The sequence below is a fragment of the Homo sapiens genome, chromosome 6 (assembly GCF_000001405.40).
Source record: "Homo sapiens chromosome 6, GRCh38.p14 Primary Assembly".
Lineage (NCBI taxonomy): Eukaryota > Metazoa > Chordata > Mammalia > Primates > Hominidae > Homo > Homo sapiens.
Genome location: NC_000006.12, coordinates 36,710,555 through 36,725,656, shown reverse-complemented (window position 1 = coordinate 36,725,656; position 15,102 = coordinate 36,710,555). Strand labels below are relative to the sequence as shown.

At 52.7% G+C, this 15,102-nt stretch overlaps 1 protein-coding gene across 8 annotated transcripts in view, besides 3 other annotated features; it reads right to left on the bottom strand.

The window, feature by feature from the left end:
- RAB44 (RAB44, member RAS oncogene family) overlaps nucleotides 1–15,102 on the bottom strand; it is a 35,359-nt gene that overhangs the window by 7,528 nt on the left and 12,729 nt on the right. For 6 of the 8 annotated variants that reach the window (XM_024446435.2, NM_001257357.2, XM_024446439.2 and 3 more), the window contains 7 exons: nucleotides 11,718–11,829; nucleotides 10,004–10,178; nucleotides 8,238–8,384; nucleotides 7,539–7,629; nucleotides 7,069–7,164; nucleotides 5,107–5,294; nucleotides 2,924–4,506 (listed from right to left, as the gene is read on the bottom strand). In XM_024446435.2, the coding sequence (XP_024302203.1) occupies nucleotides 2,924–4,506; nucleotides 5,107–5,294; nucleotides 7,069–7,164; nucleotides 7,539–7,629; nucleotides 8,238–8,384; nucleotides 10,004–10,178; nucleotides 11,718–11,829 (2,392 nt within the window). Of the gene's footprint in view, nucleotides 1–1,495; nucleotides 2,704–2,923; nucleotides 4,507–5,106; nucleotides 5,295–7,068; nucleotides 7,165–7,538; nucleotides 7,630–8,237; nucleotides 8,385–10,003; nucleotides 10,179–11,717; nucleotides 11,830–15,102 lie in introns of those variants that run through there. The other 2 variants (XM_024446438.2, XM_024446437.2) reach the window with 2 other exon arrangements.
- Nucleotides 757–816: an enhancer, noted in NCBI's record as "active region_24442". NCBI's record gives its function as "activates an Ori minimal core promoter by ATAC-STARR-seq in GM12878 lymphoblastoid cells {active_cell/tissue: GM12878}" and the evidence as "EXISTENCE:reporter gene assay evidence [ECO:0000049][PMID:35858748]".
- Nucleotides 5,371–5,550: an enhancer, noted in NCBI's record as "active region_24441". NCBI's record gives its function as "activates an Ori minimal core promoter by ATAC-STARR-seq in GM12878 lymphoblastoid cells {active_cell/tissue: GM12878}" and the evidence as "EXISTENCE:reporter gene assay evidence [ECO:0000049][PMID:35858748]".
- Nucleotides 8,204–8,705: an enhancer, noted in NCBI's record as "H3K4me1 hESC enhancer chr6:36684729-36685230 (GRCh37/hg19 assembly coordinates)". NCBI's record gives its function as "activates a minimal SCP1, AML or CMV promoter by ChIP-STARR-seq in naive H9 embryonic stem cells {active_cell/tissue: H9 hESC(naive)}" and the evidence as "EXISTENCE:reporter gene assay evidence [ECO:0000049][PMID:30033119]".

Below are 15,102 nucleotides of genomic sequence, written 5' to 3'. Positions count from 1 at the left end.
TGTGCCAACACAGGGCACCTTGTCTATGTTGTTCATTCCTTAGGCCACCCAGAATATAAGTTTCATTATTTTATTTTTACAGTACTCTTTGTTCCATTCCCTAATTATTGCATGCACTTTCCTCTCTTAACGAGACAGCAGGGGAGACAAGGAGCCCAGAGGGGCAGAAGGAATGCTGGCTTCAGGCAACTGTTACACTGGTTACAGGACCTCAGGCAAGTCACTTCACCTCTGTGAGCCTCTCTTTCCTTGTCTGCAAAGTGGCAAATTAGAAAGACCTACACTGCAGAGTGGCTGGAGGATTAAAATGCTGTTTTAAAAGGCGTGGTGACACATGCCTGTAATCCCAGCTACTCAGGAGGCTGAGGCAAGAGAATCACTTGAACCCGGGAGGCGGAGGTTACAATGAGCCGAGATCGCGCAGCTGCACAATCTTGTTGCCTGGGCAACGAGAGTGAAACTCCATCTCAAAAAAAAAAATGCTGTTTTAAGTGACCCAGAGAGCATGCAATTCTGAACTGAAAAGAGGATAAAACTTCTGGTGTGGAGGCAGGGCTTTTAAGGTAGGTGGCCTTAACTTTGGGGGCCCAGCTAGGGCAAGAAACTGAACCAGGTCTTCAATTCTCTGCTTTCCTCATCTGTAAAATGGGGATAGATATGGAAAATGTACATTCAAATATAACTCCGTTGGCTCTGATTCTCTATCTGGTCCCGTCCTCAAATGCAGGCAGGGTAGAGTTCTTATTTTGTGAGGTGGGGGAGCAGGAATGGAGGGAAGGTGACACTAGGTAGGGAAATATTGACCTATGAAGGCAGGATCATTTCCTGTGGTATTTAAACCAGAAAAGACGATAGCCACCGGGGGGCAGCAAACCATAGCTTGGGATTGGGACAGATCTGGACCAAGCACTTGGATCTCAGGTACTCCCAGCAGGCTAGCAGTGCATGCCGGCTTGCCTGGTTGGTTGGTTGGTTGGTTGGTTGGTTGGTTGGTTGGTTGGTTGATTGGTTGGTTGGTTTCACGATTATGCAGCTGTGTTTTTCTTGATTGAATTTTGTGAGAACTTCTTACCACATAATAAAGGAGGAGGCTCCATTCTAAGGAAGGCTGTTGTAAGGAATAAGACATGTATGGAAGATGCCTAGTGCATGGGAGGTGGTCAGTAAACAGTAGCTTAGGTGACTAATAATGGTAGCCTTGGCCAGGCACAGTGGCTCACGCCTGTAATCCCAGCACTTTGGGAGGCTGAGGCGGGCAGATCACCTGAGGTCACCAGCCTGGCCAACGTGGTGAAACTTCATCTCTACTAAAAGTACAAAAATAAGCCAGGTGAAGTGGCACACACCTGTAGTCTCAGCTACTTGGGAGGCTGAGGCAGGAGAATCACTTGAACCCAGGAAGCAGAGGTTGCAGTAAGCAGAAATCGTGCCACTGCACTGGAGCCTGGGTGACAGGGCGAGACTCCATCTCAAAAAATAAATAAATAAATAAATAAATAAATAAATAAATAAATAAAATAAAATAATGGTAGTGTTGTAGAACCTGTGACCCCACTCAACATCAGGCCAGCCTGCTATAGGTTTCCTCTTCCCGAGGGAACTGCATTTCTAACTAGCTCCCAGGTGAGGCTTCTTGGGCAAGAAAAGTTTGAGAACCTGCCCCAGGCCTCTCTTGTGGGGGGCTGTCATTTACCGACTGGTCTGGCTCTGATCCCCAGTCGGCATGTGCCCTGGTCTAATACAAAGACAGGCGTGACTTCTTTGTCCCTAGGTGGGTCTCCCCTCCATTCCCTCGGGTTTGCTTTTTTTTTTTTTTTTTTGGGAGACGGAATCTTGCTCTGTCGCCCAGGCTGGAGTGCAGTGGTGCGATCTCGACTCACTGCAAGCACCGCCTCCTGGGTTCACGTCATTCTCCTGCCTCAGCCTCCCGAGTAGCTGGGACTACAAGCAACCGCCACCATGCCCGGCTAATTTTTTGTATTTTTAGTAAAGACAGGGTTTCACTGCGTTAGCCGGGATGGTCTCGATCTCCTGACCTTGTGATCCGCCCGCCTCAGCCTCCCAAAGTGTTGGGATTACAGGTGTGAGCCACTGCGCCCGGCTGGGTTTGCTTTTCTGTAGCTCTGTACAGGGTTCAGTGGCCACATATCCTGATACTTTTAGGGAGGGAAGGCTCTCTGCTTTCGGCCATTTCTTGCAGGAGCCACTGAGTTAGACATGATCAAATATTTACTTATAATAATAATAACAACCATAATAACTAATACTTACTGAGTACTCACTACATGTCAGTTATGATTCTAAGATCTTGACATATTAACTAGTCCTCAACCACTCTAGGAAGGCAGCACTACTGTTGTCCCCATTATGCAGATGAGGATTTGGGGGTTCAAAAGGGTTAAATCATTTGTCCAAATTCAGACCCTAATAAGTGGCAGGGCTAAGATTTGAACTCAGGCACCTGGCTTCCTAATTTACCACACTCTACAAATACATTCTGTGTAAAATATCCAACTTGCCCAAGGTGACTTCTTGCCAGACCATGGCTGCCCAGCCTGGAGCTAGTCATGAGCAAATCCAACCAGCACAGAACCTGCTCTGGCCTGCCCATGGGCCACATGAGTGGATACTTGCTTGTTTTCACCATCAACTCTCGCAGGCACCTAAATTGCAGGGTGCATTGTTGATGTGGCACCTTATAAGCTAATCAGATCAATGCAGAAAAAACAAATTACCTGTAATTAGAGACGATTAGTGAAATAGTAAGGTTATGCCCATATAAAACAATGTCTAATGCAGGGCCCGTGGCCAGGGCAGAACCTGCAGCTTCCTCAGGGAGGGCTTGGTCTGGGCCCGCTCTCACTCGTTGGCCCTGGCCCCTGCGTCTCTCCTTGCTCCCTGCCGCCCTCCCCAATGCCCTTACCCACGGTAGCTGTCAATCCGGTGGCGAAAGAATTCTGGTGCAGCAGGTGCAGGAAGGATGTTTTGCCCACGTTGGAGTCTCCCAGAAAGATGACATGGAAGAGGTAATCAGGGTTGGCCTGGGGTCCCCCTCCAGCCATGGGGTCTCCCGGGGATGGGGTCAGCCCAGCTTCCCTGGAGTCCATTCCTGGATCTTCAAGCCTGCTCTCTGCCCTTGGTTCCCTGGAGTGAGGCGGGCCTTGTTCTTCTGCGTGAGCAGTCGTGAGGGATGGCCTGGGTTGGGCTTCCTGCTCAGCCATGGTGGGAGGGGTTTGCGTGGGTTCCTGGGGTCCTGCTCCAGCCCCAGGCTGAGCCCCCCTGGGAGGAGAGCCCCTTGGAGGTGCCGATTTTCCAGGAGTGGGGCCTTCTGCTTCCACCTGAGCCTGTGGTGTGGCAGATGGGAGAGAAACAAGCAGAGAGTCTTGCTGGGGGAGTTCCGAATGCGCAGTTTCTAGGCCGTGAGCCTCAACCGACTGCTCTGACTGCTCTGAACTGAGGTCCTGCCCACCTCTGCCCTCTTGTTTTCCTTCCTCAGACCTGGGTTCCTCTTCCAGCTCCTGGTGGGGGAAGGCAGACAGCTCACCCAGCCCAAGGACCTGGCCATGAGCTTCTCTTAGCCCCTCAGGAAGGCCCTCCTGCACCGCTGGGCCCGCCTGGCCCTGCTCCAGCCTCTCTGTGGGCACCGGACCCACAAATTCCAGGCCCTGGAAGGGCTCAGCTGGCCCCAGGGTGAGGGCTCTAGCCCTCTGGGTCCCCAGTCTTGGCTCAGAGCCAGTGGCATGCAGGTCCTGCTGGAGGGCATCTCTCTGCCTGGGCGGCTTGGCTGGGCCCACTCCTGTGAGGGCAGTTGTGGGTGAGGGTCCGGGCTGGGTTTCCCGCTCAGTCATGGTGGGAGGGGTTTGTGTGGGTTCCTGGGGTCCTGCTCCAGCCCCAGGCTGAGCCCCGCTGGGAGGAGCCCAAGACCCAGGGCCCTTGTCATCTGGGTCTGAGGCCTGGATCTGTTTGCTGGACCCAGCTGGGGCCTGGGGAGGGGGAGAGTTCGCAGGGGGAGGGGGCCCATCCTCCAAAGGAATGAGCACTTTGAATGCAGGTGCCACCAGGCTTCCTGAGAGACCCCAGAGGAGGCGGCCCTCGGGTGTGGACCCTGGCTCCTGGTTGGGGTCCGGGTCGTGCGGTTCAACAGGCTGCTCTGCTCTAATGTCCTGCTCATGTGGGTCCACTCCTTTATTGTCCTTGGCGCTGAAAGTCACCCCAGGTGGGGTCCTTGGAGCCCCATCTGGATCTGAAGATGGCTCCTGACCAAATAGAAAAGCCTGTGGCTCCGAGATGGAGATCTGCCTGACCACACGGGGTGTCTGGGGGCCTGAGGTGGCTCTTGGGGTCGGGGGCGGGCTCCAGCAGAGCTGCAGGGCTCCGTGCGGAGGGCTGCCAAAGTTGCTCAGTAGCTGGTCCCAGTCATCGTTGTCCCCAAATAGCCCAGGCAGGGGGGCCTCCTCAGGGGAGGCAGCCTGAGGGTCTGGGGTCTTCTCACCCGCTCCAGGAAAACTGGAAATGAAGCAGGGAAGCAAAGATCGGGGAGGGGCAGGTAGGTGGTGTCACACCCATCCCACCTGCAGCCCTCACCATCCCTTGCTCTCCCCATGGCCAGGTCTCCTCCCAGTCCTTGCTCAGGCAATCTTTCTCACCTGGTATGTGCTCCCCATTCCTCCTCCTCATCCAATCCTGTCCATCCTCAAGACCCACATGAAGCCTCACCTCCTCCAGGAAGCCTTCCTTGATCATTCTGGCCCATCCCACTTCTCTGAGCTATAACAAGTAGAGTGAGTGCCTGCTAGGGATCTAGCACTGCACTAGGACATGTGTGTGTGTGTATGTGTGTGTGTATGTGTGTACACGTACATGCACACATGTGCATGTTTTACTTCTAGCCATGTGGCCTTGGGCACAGGTGTTTCCCTTTTTTGTGCCCCAGTTTCCTCATCTGAGAAATGGTTGTGATAGTTCCAGCTTGGCAGAGGGTGGGGTTTAAGGAAGGAGTCTATGTGTGCACTGTGTGCTAGCTAGATCCTTAGAGAACTCAGAGTTCCCCACTGGTTCCAGGAGGCCCTTAGAGTCCACCCCAGTCCAGGGATAGCAGCCACTTGCCTCAGTTTCTCCTCCACCTGCCAGGACACCCGGCCCCTGGCGGCGTCCAGGCGCCCCCTGGTCACCTGCAGCTGCCCCCGCACCTCCTCCAGCCGCCCAGCCAGGTCACGCTTGGCCTCCTGCAGCTGCTGGTTCTCTGAGGCAGCCTCCTGATGTGTGCTCCTGAGGTGGGAGAGCTGGGCCTCCAGCTGCAGGGTGGAGGGTGAGGCGGAGAGAAGCCCAGATGCCCTCCAGGGCGCAAAAAGCCTCCCAAGGCCATTGTGGGACACAGACCCCCACCCCCTGTCCAGGCTCCTGGAGACCCAGCTTAAATCAGAGTAGTGGTGGGCGGTTATCCCTCCTTGGCCTAACTAGCTCCATTAGCTCCTATCTAGGAGGGGCACTGGAAATCCTAGGGTGGGGAGGGCAGGGAGACTGTGTGAGAAACAAAAACCACCAGCGCCACAAAGGCCCCACACCCAAGCCAAATCCCACCCTCCTCTACTCAGCGCCCTACAGTGGCTGCTGGCCCCTGAGCCTGTCTGGTCTACAGGGGGCTCCTGATCCAACAGCAAATCTCATGACCCAGAGAGGGAGCATTGCTTGGCCAAGTGAAGGGAAAGGCAAAGCTCTTGCAATGGCCTCCGGGACACTGCACAGTCTCCTGCAGCCTCCTCACCTCCCCTCATGACCCTCACCTCCTTTCCTATGGCTGTTGCCTCAGTCTGTTCCAGTCCACAGCTCTGCTTACTGTTCTGTGAACTTCCACAGCTCATGCCCGCTCAGGGCCTTCGCACCTGCTGTTCCCTCTGCCTGGATGCCCTTCCCCCACATATCACACTTCTCCAGGTCTTCGCTCCAATGTCATCATCTCAGCCAGGCCTTCCTTGACTCCCTTCTCAACTTACTTTGACTACGATTTCAACTCCTACGACTCTTCTATCCCCCTTCCCTGTTTTACTTTATTCTCCTTAGCACTGATCACCATTTCCTATGTTATTATGTCACCTGTCTCCCTGACTAGATGGTAACTCTGTGGGCAGAGGTTTGTGTCTGTCATGATCCTCAGGACCTGGAACAGTGTCTGGCACATAGTTGGTGCTGGATAAGTAGCTGTGGGGTGAAGGAATAAATGATTGGAGGGGAGAAGCTTCACATCCACAGGGGACAGGACGAAATGGCCCCATGTGTAAAGCCCTATCTCTTCACTTGGCAGGAGGGGCCTGCCTCGATTTCCAAGGAGCAGCAGCAGAGGCACCTGGGAAATCAACCTGGTAACAGGGCCAGCCCAGGCCGTGGTGAGGACGGCTCGAGGAATCTTGTCCCGGGCTGAAGGGATGCTTCTTGTCCTGGTTACAGCAGAGCACAATTTTACCAAGGTCAGTGGTCTTCAAGTTGAGAAAGGAAGAGATAATGGGGCGCTGATCACAAGGTCAGGAGATTGAGACCACGGTGAAACCCCATCTCTACTAAAAATACAAAAAATTAGCTGGGCGCAGTGATGGGCGCCTGTAGTCCCAGCTACTCGGGAGGCTGAGGCAGGAGAATGGCGTGAACCATTCTCCTGAGGTGAACTGAGGCGGAGCTTGCAGTGAGCCAAGACTGCGCCACTGCACTCCAGCCTGGGTGACAGCATGATTCCGTGTCAAAAAAAAAAAAATGGGGCAGGGTCTCAGACCCAAACACTCAACCACAGTGCCACCTGGAAGTGACTACAGGCTATAAGACCTGCAGTGTCCGGGCAGCAGCAAGTAACCTGACCCTAAGCAGGAAGCTAGGTCAGTTTCAGAGATGGAACAACTGAGGCACAAAGCACCTACTACGTGCCAGGCACTGTCTCAGGCCCTCACATGTAGTATCTCTAATCATCACAGTACCTTCTAAGGCAGGAGTTCTGATTTCCATGTCTCTGATAGGAAACTGAGGTTCATAGATATTAAAGACCTGTTCGGAAGTAGGTTTCTGGGAAACCCTATTACTCACCTCCCTCTGGCCCTCAGCTAGTCGCTGCACCTCGCGCTCCTTGGCCTCTAGGACGTCCTGCATCTGGGAGGTGAGGGCCAGGCCCCGAGAGTCGCTCTGTGGAGTAGGTAGATTCAGCCCTCACCCTGCAGACTCTAAGAGCTAGCCAGGCAGGCCAGCCCTTCTCACACTCCACCTCCACCACCTGGGGTGCCTGGGCCAGGATGCCCCAGCAGGGAGGGTTCTCAGGACAACTCCTCCAGTTCCAGCCTAGATTGTGGCAACAAGGAGACTTGGCAGAGATGGGAAGGGGGCCCAGGCTCGACACTCCCCACCTCGTCTCTCTGGGGAACACCAGCTGCTCAGGGCAGGGAGAGGATTCACTACAGCAGCCTCCTGTTCCCCACCCTGGCCAGTCACTGGCCCCATTCCTTAGCCAGCAGAGGTGTCCCGGGCAGTGGGAAGGAGGCAGGCTGCCGGCGGGAGCCCACCTCAGCCTGCAGCTGCTGCTTCTCCTGGCGGATCTGCTGCTCCATCTCCTCATAGAGCTGCTGGACCTCGCGGTGGTGGTCAGAGTCACGCCTGGGAGGAGCAGGAGTTGGGGCCAGGCAGCCCATCAGCACCTCTGGGAGCCTGCTGCTGGCAGGGGCAGTCTGGGCTTGGGTTTGGAATCCATCCTATTGCTTTCCTCACTCTGCCAGCAGTCACTGACCTCTGTCACCCTGAGAACAGCCATCCCAGTAACAACCCCCTGACCCATACAACTTTGACATTGGTCCTGCTGATCCTACCACGCCGACCCTTGTAACCGTCACCAGTTCCCCTGGCCAGGGTCTCATTGTCCCCATCACCCCATCACTCAGTCCCCACTCCCTCTTTCACCGTCCTCCTGCCCTTATAACCCAACTCCAGGGTCACCACATGCATTACAGTCTACGGGAGCAGGCCCCCTGGAGTTGGGCGTCACAGTGGGTCCTGTACCAAGACACACCCTGCCCTTCCCACTCCTGCCATTACCAACTCTGTCCTCCCCACCCGGTCCCCTGAGCCACCTCTTCCTCCAGCGCAGCTCTGCCCTATCCAGCTCACAGGCCCAGCTGCAGGAGGAGCTGGGGAAATTCAACCAGATTCCACTGGAATGTGAAGAGCACCTACTTCGTATCAGACACCCGGCCAGGCCCCCCACTCACTTCCTCAGGGTCAGCTCCAGGGCCTCCTTGTCCGCCTGGGCCTCCTGCAGGCGGCTGGTCATCTTGGCCAGAAAGCCTGCCAGGTTGCCTGCCAGCTGGGGCTCCTCCTGCCGCAGCTGCCCCCACAGTTGCCAGATTTCCATCTGCCTGGGGAGGGGAAGACAGCCAGAGATGGGAGGGTCAGACACAAGGTGGGATGGAGAAGCAAGGGGAGCCCCACTCCTCAGTTTTCACTGCAGCGCTCCAAGAGACTTTGGCACCTGGGCCAAATCTATTGACACCCTACAAGATGCAACTAAAACGCCACCTCCTCCAGGAACCATTCCCAGATGTGCCCTCTCCCTTCTCGAACCCCCGCCACACTGTGTCTCTCTATGATTCCGTAATAGTGGGATGGGGGGATTTGGGAGCCTGATGGCCCAGAGCTTCCATCTGCCCTCTCTCTTCTCTCACTCTGAGGCTGTGTGACCTCCAGCAAGTCCCAAGCCCTCTCTGGGCTCATTTGTAAAATGGGGTGGGGGCTGATACCTGCCAAGCAAGGTCACTGGGGAATGAGAAACACCTGATGAAAGCACCAGCTCAGGGCCTGCCACACGGTTGGTGCCCAATAAAGGCTGCTTTCACATGGATTTAATTAAGTCATGAGGATGGATGCCAGAGGGCTGAGCCTAGGCCAAGATGCCAAATGAATACAAAGCTCCCCACCCCCTTGCCCCACCAGTCTACACCCTAAGTCCTACCCTGCCTGCCTCACAACACCTGGCCCCACCCTCCGGGAGCCAAGCGTGAGGAATCTTGTCCTCACAGAACCCCATGGGTGGGGCAAGCAAACCTGGGCCAGTGGGTGAGGGCAATTCCCTCACTGGTTCTAACAGACCCGGGGGTCCTAGGAGGGGACGTTAGCAGGCAGGGCTCCCTTTCTATCTCTCTCTTTTTTTTTTTTTTTTTTTGAGACAGAGTCTTGCTCTGTCACCCAGGCTGGAGTGCAGTGGCGCGATCTCAGCTCACTGCAACATCCGCCTCCCAGGTTCAAGCAATTCTCCTGCCTCAGCCTCCTGAGTAGCTGGGATTACAGGCATGTGCCACCACGCCCGGCTAATTTTTGTATTTTTAGTAGAGATGGGGTTTCATCATGTTGGCCAGGCTGGTCTGGAACCCCCGACCTCAGGTGATCCACCCGCCTCAGCCTCCCAAAGTGCTGGGATTACAGGCATGAGCCACCGTGCCCGGCCAGGGCTCCCTTTCTCTAAGCAAAGGCAAACCCCTGACACCTAGAGCCTGAGATGGATGGGAGGAAATGCACTTCTGTCTCCAAACCCGTTCAACCCAGGGCACAAAATGCCTGAAATCGCCCCCAACTCCAGGAACCTTCACTGAGTGAAGAAAGGCACCTGCAGGGACCCCCATGGTTTTAAGAATTCATGTGCCTTGGGAAGCTGAGCCCAATCGCTAGTCCTCCTGGAGAGTGACCCTACAGGGCAGGACAGGGCCGGGAGGTGCAGGGGTGGGAAGGACTCCCCATGAGCAGGCATCCTCTGCACGTGGTTTTAACCCCACAACAACTTTTAGGCTCATTCTGCAGCCCAGGAAACAGAGGTCAGAAGTCAAGCCATCCCTGTGGTCACACAGCTAGCCAATGGCCAAGCCAGAATTTGCACTTGGCTCTACCTGGCGCCTGCCCCCTTGACCCCTGCTGTGTCCAGGAAAGCCCCTGCCGTCAATGGCTGGCAGAGCCTCTCCCCATGCACATGCCGCCCTGGCCTTACTTGGGAAGTAAGTGTCCAGTCCCCAGCTGCTCCATGAAGGCAAGGAACGCCTCCTTCTCCTCAGCATCCGCCTCCTCCAGAGCTGGGAAGCTGGTGGTAGCAGATACCCGCTTAGAGGGCAGTGGCTTCCTTCTGCGGAGCCTGTGGGGGCTCTGGCTGGAGCCAAAGATGTTTTCTGTGGGACAGAAGTGGACAGAGGGGAGCACAGTGGTGTTGGGCCCAGACGCCTGGCCTCCCACCCAGCCCTGGTCCAGCCCTCAGGGAAGTAATTCTACCTGTGCCAGTCACATTTACACAAGGCTACATTCACATATTTCTCATATCAACCTTAGGAGTCTATTTAAGGTACCCATTTTACAGATGAGTACCTGAGGCCCAGAGACGCCAAAAGACTTGCTGGAAATCACACCACACCTCCAAGGTGGTGAACAAATTCTTCATGCACTCAATCAATGGATATGTATTGAGCATCTACATGACAAAATTAACCAAAATCCCTAACATGGAGATGACATTCTAGTGCGAGTTGAAAAGAATATATATATATATATTTTAAGCCAACTTGCTAAGTGAGCCAAAGGAATATGCAGGGTAATTTCCACTGAGAGACTGGGAGGATCGACTTAGATGAGGTGGCTAGCAGTGTCCTAAGGAGGTGACATTGGAACTGAGATGTGAATTACAAGAAGGAGCAAACCATGTGGACTCCAGAGAAGTGTGTCCCCGGCAAAGAGAACAGCACTGCAGGGGCCCTGAGGCAGGAGCCAGGCTAGCAAGATGGACGAGGTGAATGGCACTGAGTGAGCCAGAGAGGTTGGCAGCGTCTGGATGGTGCAGGCCTTGCAGGCCCCAGGAAGGGGCTTCCAGTTTGTCCCACAGGCACTGGGAAGTTCCTGGCGTGGCGGGCATGATTCGATTCAGGAATGAAGACGGCCCCAAGGCTGCGTGGACAGCAATGCTCCCTCTGCGCCCCACCGGCAGTTCCTCCTGCCCAGCCCCTGAGTTCTCCTCCCCACTCTCAGCTTCTCCATTGCCAGAACTGGAGCAGCCTCCTCCTGGAGTGGGCCCAAGCGCAAATGCAGATTCCTGGCCCCCTTCTCTGCTGGTCTCCAGGCTTTTGGAGACTCAGCTGACCTGAGAACTCTGGGGGGCTTTGTGGACACTGAAGGCTGATCTGTGTCTTGCAGGGGCTCTGTGAGGACACCACACCTTCCATTGCCTGGGCTGGAAGGTCTTCCCAGGGAGAGGATTAGCGGGAGGATTGTGCCCTGCTGGCCATGGGCTCCCTAAGTCTTGTCAGCCCATCTAGAGAGGCAGGTGCTGGGGCAGCCCTGCCCAGTGGGGGCTCAGCACCTGGAAAGCCCCCACCCCTAGATATCACCCTCTGCTGCTCCCTGGCCCATGGAATTCCCTTAACCAAAGCCACAATGTTACTCTCCTCAGGCGGAAACAAATCTGTGGTGTCAAGACCTCTGGCTCAGGAGAAGCCTTTTACTGGGGAGAAGACATAGGAGTCAGAAAGCAAGCCCGGAGGCCTCCCTGGAGGGGCAGAGGGGATGCACAGGGGAGGGCCCCGGACCACTGTGGCAGCCGGGGATGGGGGGTGAAAGTCCCTGGGAAAAGGGTTGCCTTTCTAACGACCCAGCCTAGCCCCATGCAGGGCACACTGCACGGAACACCTGGGTGCCCAGAGGCCCTCCAAAGACAGACATACTGAGTCCAGAGCTGAATTCTTCAAGGGACAGGTGTCCCTTCCGCTCCACATCCACCCAGTCGAAGATCATCTCTGACTCTTCCTTGCTGCCCAGGAAGCTGAACTTGGCCACCTGGAAGGAATGGGCAAGTTGGGCAGGTGTTCCCACCGGGGAAGGCTCTCACCCTCCAAAACGGAGAGATGTTTGTCTTCAGCCACCCCTACCTCACCTCACCCCAATGTCAGAGTCCCTCCAGTAACCTGACCCAGGGCCTAAGCTTGACATTCCCAACCCCACCCAAGGCAGCCCTCCCAGCAGGGCCCTGAACTGGCTCCAGCTCTTTTCACTCTCTCCATCCAAAATCAAAACGTACGTGTCCTAAGTCCCATGTCTTTAGGAACTTGATAAAGGACAGCAGCCAATCCTCCCCAGAATGTGGTGATCAGTGTCCAAAAATTACCTGAGGCCAGGCGCGGTGGCTCAAGCCTGTAATCCCAATAGTTTGGGAGGTCGAGGTGGGTGGATCACCTGAGGCCAGGAGTTCAAGACCAGCCTGGACAACATAGTGAAACCCCGTCTCTACTAAAAATACAAAAATTAGCCAGGCATGGTGGCAAGCGACTGTAGTCCCAGCTACTTGGGAGACTGAGGCAGGAGAATCACTTGAACCCAGGAGGCAGAAGTTGCAGTGAGCCAAGATGGTGCCATTGCACTCCAGCCTGGGTGACAAGAGTGAAACTCCGTTTCAAAAAAATAAAAATAAAAAAGTCAATGAGTTAAATCTCCTATAAGAGTTCATTTTATATATCATGGCCTACAGGTCATGATTTTACCTTTTTGAAAATTATAACAAGTTTTGGACTAAGGTCTAGGAGATGGCCCAGTGGGCTCCTCTGGCAGAATCAAGCAGCCTGCGTGGCTGCACAAGTGCACGTCATGGGCTCTTTAAGCCCACACACTTTGGCTCTCAGAGAGGGAATCCCCAAGCATAATAGAACTTTGAGTTTGCTGATTCTCTGTTTCTCTAGTTACTTTTTTTCCTTTCTGTGAATTTCGTGTTTTTATCTGAGGCCGCACATGACTGATAAGTTATTCCCCATTGGTGGCAGCAGTGATGGTCTGGTCTAAACCAGTGATGGTCTTTATGTTCTATTTGGTGATCTCTGGGGGATGCATCATGGAGACTTAATGCCTATTGGTTGAAAAATAACAGAAAAACTGGTTTGCTAATCGTTTTGTTGTTGCTGTTGTTGTTTGTTTTTCTATTTGTGATCTCAAATTAGTTAAGAATTCCAGGCCGGGTGCAGTGGCTCACACCTGTAATCCCAGCACTTTGAGAGGCCGAGGCGGGCAGATCACTTGAGGTCAGGAGTTCGAGACCAGCCTGGCCAACATGGTGAAACTCCGTCTCTACTAAAAATACAAAAACTAGCCGGGCATTGTGGTGGGCGCCTGTAATCCCAGCTACTCAGGAGGCTGAAGCAGGGGAATCACTTGAAACCGGGAGAAGGAGGTTGCAGTGAGCCGAGATCGCACCACTGCACTCTAGCCTGGGCAACAGAATGAGACTGTATCTCAAAGAAAAATAATTTCATATCCACTGGGACTGGGAAGGAGAACAGCTCTTTGAGATCTGGATTGGTGAGTTTTCATGTTTCATGTTGTTGTGTTTACTGTCATTCAGGCTGGAATGCAGTGGCACAATCTTGGCTCACTGCAACCTCCACCTCCCGAGTTCAACTAATTCTCCTGCCTCAGCCTCTTGAGTAGCTGGGATTACCTGTGCCTGCCACCACACCTGGCTAGTTTTTGTATTTTTAGTAGAGATGGGGTTTCACCATGTTGGCCAAGCTGGTCTCGAACCCCTGACCTCAGGTGATCCACCTGCCTCAGCCTCCCAAAGTACTGGGATTACAGGCATGAGCCACCACGCCCAGCCTGCTGTGTTTACTTTTGATCTGTGGCTGGAACTGTAGAAATGAAGCAAGACATTCTCTGTGTGTCTGTGTATCTATATGTCTGTAATAGACAGGCCTTTAACTCTTTTTTTTTTTTTTGAGATGGAGTCTTACTCTGTCACTCAAGCTGGAATGCAGTGGCGCAATCTTGGCTCACTGCAACCTCCACTTCCTGGGTTCAAGTGATTCTCCTGCCTCAGCCTCCCGAGTAGCTGGGATTACAGGAATGTACCACCACGCCCGAAAGGTCTTTAACTCTTATGTCAGTGTGAAATACTTTTGTACATCTGGAAGGTATTAATAACTTAGCGTACTATGTCTCTTAAAGGAGTTCTGTGTTGATTGGTTTATAGAGACAAATAAGTGATTATATAACTCTAATTCTCCTAAAAATAACAGAAAATAACTGAAATTTGAATGCTTTAAATGACTTAGACTTAAAACAATTCTTCTTAGAAATCGCTAGCTCAGAAAATTTTTCAGGAGCCAGGTCCATATAATTAACATGATTCTTTGAACAAATTAGACTGGTTTAATAATTGTTTTGATAAAACACATATAATAGCTATCTGTCTTTTCTGTGCTTTATGTTAAGTATAATTCAAGTATACATTCTGTTTTTCATAAGATCTATATTTGTTTTCTGTGAAGAAACGAGTTAATCTAGATTTCCTATACTTCTCATTTCGACTTTCGGATCAAATAAGTCAACTTTATCTTTACATATGTTTGAGATTATAAACATGTAAATTTGTGCCCCACTAAATTGATTAATTACTCTAACAAATAAATTTTGTATCAACAGTAATTATAACTTCCAGTGTGTCACCTTAAACACAGTTTCCAAGATTCTTAGGTAACTTTAAAATTTTGAATTAATATTGAAGTACATCAATTAATAAATAATTTTTGGCTATCTGGATAATTTCTAAAACAAATTTAATACTGAAACATTGATTGCTAGGCATATTTTTAAGTTGATATATTTTTTACTTCTTATTTTCACATGCTGGAAAGTAGCTATATCTTTAGGTAATGTTAAATGAATTCATTTTTTTCTGCTTTAAAAAGTTGTGCAGTCTGGGCGAGGTGACTCACGCCTGTAATCCTAGCACTTTGGGAGACCAAGGCAAGTGGATCACCTGAGGTCAGGAGTTCAAGACCAGCCTAGCCAACATGGTGAAACCCTGTCTCTACTAAAAACACAAAACTTAGCCACACGTGATGGTGCATGCCTGTAATCCCAGCTACTCTACTCAGGAGGCTGAGGCAGGAGAATCACTTGATCCCAGGAGGCGGAGGTTGCGGTGAGCCAAGATCATGCCACTGCACTCCAGCCTGGATGACAGAGTGAGACTCCCAGGAGGCGGAGGTTGCAGTGAGCCAAGATCATGCCACTGCACTCCAGCCTGGACGACAGAGTGAGACTCCATCTCAATTAAAAAAA